The 5,283-nt window shown below is 35.6% G+C and overlaps 1 annotated feature.

Moving 5' to 3' along the window:
- Positions 2,441-2,610: an enhancer, noted in NCBI's record as "experimental_84930 CRE fragment used in MPRA reporter constructs". NCBI's record gives its function as "activates a minimal promoter by MPRAs in K562 erythroleukemia cells, with activity observed for both the introgressed and non-introgressed 5:39772165 variant alleles {active_cell/tissue: K562}" and the evidence as "EXISTENCE:reporter gene assay evidence [ECO:0000049][PMID:34662402]".

Here is a 5,283-nt window from a genome sequence, read left to right as displayed (position 1 = left end):
ATCTCATTTTGGTTTTACTTTGCACTTCTCTAACTGCTAATGATGATGATGATGATGATCATGATGGTGATGATAACATTTTTCATAGCTGCTTCTTTGAGCACTGTTGCTAACCCGTTCTCCTAAACCCTCAGATTCAAACTCAGATGTTAAACATATTTTCATGTGTTTTTTTGAAATCCATATACTCTGTGCAGTCAAGTGTCTTTTGCCCATTTTTATTTGGACTGCTTGCTTTTTAAATTTTGAGTTTTGAGAATCATTTATATATTCTAAATAACAATCATTTTTGTACGTGTAATTTTCAAATATATTCTCCAAATCTGTAATTTTTCTTTTTCCCTATTAACAGGGTAATTCAGAGCACACATTTTTAAATTTCTATGAAGTCCAAATGATTATCGTTTGTTTCCTTTTATGGGTCACGCTTTTGGTGTTAAGCCTAACAACTCTTTGCCTAATCCTAGATCTTAAATATTTTCTTTCAATTTTTACCTAGAAGTTTTATAGCTTTATGTTTTATATATAAGTTGAGGATCCATCTTGAGATCATTTTTGTATAGGGTATAAAGCTTATGTCGAGGTTCTTTTTTTTTTTTTTTTGCTTATGGATGTTTAATTGCTTCAGCACTATTTATTGAAAAGGCTATTCCTTCTTCATTGAATTATTTTTGCTTCCTTATCAAAAATTACTTGTGTATACATGTGTGGATATTTCTGACTTCTCTGTTCTGTTCCACTGATCTGTGTTTCTATCCTTCCACCAGTTCTACACGGTCATGATTAATGTAGCCTTAATATTGGGAAGATTAATTCCTCTCACTTTATTCCTTTTCAAAATCATTTTAGCTATTCTAGTATACACTACTTTTAATATTAAAACAGGCATACTCTGCTGATATATAAAACTAACAACAGGAAAAGTAAAGACCACAGCCACATGTACAGTAACAAAACATATCATGCTGTCAGCAAAACAAGTTGATTTATATATATTTATAATTGAAGGACAAAAGAAGACTCTATTGTTCCATTTCTAAGAGTTTATTGCAAAGAATTAATCAGAAAACTTTATTAAGTTGTATGCCTAACAGAATGAATTGTAGTATTGCTTCTAATAGCTCAAAATTTGAATCTGACAGTAACAAAGCAGAGTTACTCAAAGTTTGGTCCATTTTCTATTTCTGGTCTGCAGACTGGTTTCTTAGCAGGTTCATGACATGATAAGGTAAAAATATGAGAGTAAGCATTAAACTTTTATAACAATTTGACAAGGAAATTTTATATATGGACCTTAATATTAGAAAGGGGGCTTGTATTTATGTCATTTTTCTTTTTATTTTTAGTCATATATTTTCATTGATATTTTATGTAATATACATATATAATCTATATATATTATATATATATATGATTTGTAATATGTATATCCTTCATTACAGGTAGTTTAAGAAGCAGACCAGTGCTTCCCACCCTGTCATTTGATAGCGCAGATGAAGAAGTTGCTAATATTTCTATGGCACAGTCTGCTACTAGGGTATTTAGCTGCTTCCTAATGGAGTTTGAGTGAAACCATTATTATTTTTATACCATATATTTATAATAAGTAGAATTCAAAGCAGGGAAGATACTAAATTTTGGAGCAAATAAAATATTTTCCAATATTTTTTAAATGAGAAATTTGAATTTGTTTCAGTAAAGGTGATCTTTATATCACCTTTTATCAGTATACAAAATAGTTGAAATTATACTTAAGGAATTTAATAGGTTTTCTTTTTCTTCCCTCAACAAATTCAAACCTTGAAATTTGATTATGCTCATGTATATTTTTAATTCAACTAAACTGTTTTTATATCAAGCATTCTTAAATGTTCAGGATGTTCTAATTTGCAGAATGGATCATGCATTGTCTATTTGGTTGTTCTGACTTGCAGAATGGATCAGAGCAGGGAGGGGAGCAGCTCCTTCACCGTTTCCCTCTGTGTAATGGAATGGTGCAACCATTTTGTTCACAGCCTACTAGAGCCACAAGCTGCATTGTTAATTGCTTCTTTGCTTCAGGGAGGACTACACAGGGCTGCTCAGGGCCAGTGGCAACTGAATCACATGCTCCCCGGCTCTCAGGCCCTATCCAGTTGCCACAAGGGCAGAAGAGATCAGTATCTCTCAGTTTTTTTTTTTTTTTTTTGCCTCTGAATGTTTATTTTGAAGCCCTGCACCAAGCTATATGCTTTTTAAAGCAGAAATCATCTCTCCCTTGCTCATCATAGTACCACAATGTCCAGCATGGTTGCTAACTACATAGTATGTATTCTATATGAAGAGTTGTTGAATGCATAAATCTCCATTAATACATGACTAGTTAAGTAAGTATGATCTGTCCATACATTGAAATACTATATAGCCTCTAAATAGAATGATATGTATCTTCTAGGAAGCTACCAATGAATAACACTGAGTAAAAAATGTGAAGTTGCCAAATCATATGCATAATATAACCCAATTTACATCAATTATATGTGTTTGTTTGTTTATACATATGGAGATATCTTGAAGTAATGTTTACAATTTGAATTTGACCTTATTTTCCCTTTTCAAATTCTTTTTGTTTTTAAAAAATCTTTTTACAATTGCTCTACTTATCTAGATGCTGCCTCACAGAGCACTAACAGTAAAAGTTTGTAGCCCCTGCAAGAGAGATCAGTAAGTGAACACCCAATCCAAGGAATGAGCTTTGTTTTCTTATTCTTTTTCAATTGATCACATTGTGTCTGAACTGACCAAATTCATATTTTGTACACTCACACATTTTGTATACTCATTTAATATCCATATTTCCTAAAAGTCTTCCGCATACGGTATCTTTGTGACTCAAGTAAAATTAGCATTCATGTGATCCTTGCTGTTTCCCCACAACTGCTGGAGTGTTTTTAATAACTTTCTGCAAAAGTCCTTCCTCTCTAAAGTTTCTCTGAGAGGGTCCATTCATGAGCGTAGTTGAAGTGTTTTTTGTTTTTGTTTTTGTTTCTGTTTTGAGACGGAGTCTCGCTCTGTCGCCCAGGTTGGAGTGCAGTGGCGCGATCTCCGCTCACTGCAAGCTCCGCCTCCCAGGTTCACGCCATTCTCCTGCCTCAGCCTCCCCAGTAGCTGGGACTACAGGCGCCCGCCACCACGCCCGGCTAATTTTTTGTATTTTTATTAGAGACGGGGTTTCACCTTGTTATCCAGGATGGTCTCCATCTCCTGACTGCCCCCCTGGGCCTCCCAAAGTGCTAGGATTACAGGCGTGAGCCACCACGCCCGGCCGAATTGGTTTTTGTGAGCATCATAGCTCTCAGGCATCATCACTTATCCTGACTTTGTGCAGCTACTTGGAAGCCACTGATGCTGTGAGAAACAATTGGATTTCTTACTACGGGAGCTCATGTTATATTACCTTACAGAATTTTTAGAAAACCTGTATTTTGTGGTTTTTATTTGTGTGTTGTTACTTTCTTAAGTCACAAGACTATGGGAATGAATAGAAACAAATTCAAAAAAGAAATCATGTATACTTAGCCTTACTCCTCCGTGCCCATGATTAAAACTTGGTTAATAAGCATCACTACCCTACTTGACTTCCTGCTAATATTGGAATAAGTTATGGCCTCAATGGTTCCCTGCCCTCCAGGCAAATTCACTCCTAGCTGCCCATATCAAGATTCTCCCTGACATGCCGAAACATTACTTAAGCGAAAGCTCAGAGCTCAGGTGTCTAATAAACAAACTAAAAGGTAGAAAGGTAAAATGATTTACTGAAAGATATACAGTGATGAAGTTTAGGGCAACACTTAACCTACTGTGTTATTTTTCCCATTTGTGACATTTTTGTAACCTTACAAAACTATAATAGGATACACAGCTTTAGAAATGCAAACAAGCTTTGCAAGCACAGTCTTTTTGAAATGAATAATTCCCATTATATTTTCAATAGAACAAGCATGATTATTTCTAAAAATAATCTAAGAGGAAGAACATATATGTTATTCAAATATCTCCCCACACCATTCCCCTGAAATGGATTTAATGAATATCAGTAATTGTGCTTACTTTATTTTAGAGTTTTGTATTTTTAGAAATGAAACACTTCTTCTGTATATAAAAGAAAATTCCGAAAAAATATAAAAACATTAAAAAATGTCCATAATTCCATCACACAGAACCTTGATGGACATTTCATAGCATGTTTTTGTCAACTGATTGCCTGTGCAATCTTAACTGATAAATTTTTCTGTACCATTAAACATTTTCCAAACATTATTGAATATGCAATTTTTCAATTGAGATTACGATTTTCAAGAATTATTTTAAGAAGGATATCTAACTATTCCTATCTATTAATTTATTTGTAATTTTTTTCTCACATTGTCTATCCCTTATGTGGCATTTTTGATATGCAGAATATCTTAATTTTTGTGAAGCATAATTTAATGACCTGTTTTTTCATGCCTCTATGCAGAGAATGACCTTTCCCATGCTTCAGTAAGGTAAATATTTACATAGTCTTTTTAAGTATGCTTTTTAATTTTTTTTTTGGTTTGCTAGAATTTCTTTCTAAATCTATGATATTATTTTGCAGTACATTGTGACATAATGTTTATTTTTCCCCTGAATTATTAATCAGCTATTTCAGGGTCATATCTTAATTAACCTATTATTTGTCCAATAATTAGAAAGATCAATTCTACCATTGGTTATACATTTATGTATATAAATACATGCATAAAAGCACCAACCCCAGGATTCAGAGTACCAGCCAAAGAAATCCTTTCCTGGTGGGGCGCGGTGGCTCACACCTGTAATCTCAGCACTTTGGGAGGCCGAGGAGGGCGGATCACCTGAGGTCAGGAGTTCAGACAAGCCTGGCCAACGTGGTGAAACCCCGTCTCTCCTAAAAATACAAAAAAGTAGCCCCGTGTGGTGGCACGCACCTGTAGTCCCAGCTACTCGGGAGGCTGAGGCCAGGGAATCGCTTGAACCCGGGAGGCGGAGGTTCCATTGAGCCGAAACTGCACCACAGCACTCCAGCCTGACTGACAGAGTGAGACTCTGTCAAAGAAAAGACGTTTCCGTCTTCACCTTTGGTATCCTTACTCCGCTCCCTTTCACTTTTCCAACTCGGAAAACCAGAGGTGGCTCCGGGTGGGAAAGAAGAAGCCGACCCAACTTCCCCATCCCTCCCTCTGCCACCACCTCCCCACTGCAGCTTCCCACTCTGATTTCCCTGCTGAGGAAGGGGGAAAG

This window comes from Homo sapiens, chromosome 5, assembly GCF_000001405.40.
Source record: "Homo sapiens chromosome 5, GRCh38.p14 Primary Assembly".
Classification (NCBI taxonomy): Eukaryota; Metazoa; Chordata; class Mammalia; order Primates; family Hominidae; genus Homo; species Homo sapiens.
Note: the sequence above shows the minus strand (reverse complement) of the source record. Positions and strands in the feature narration are given on the sequence as shown.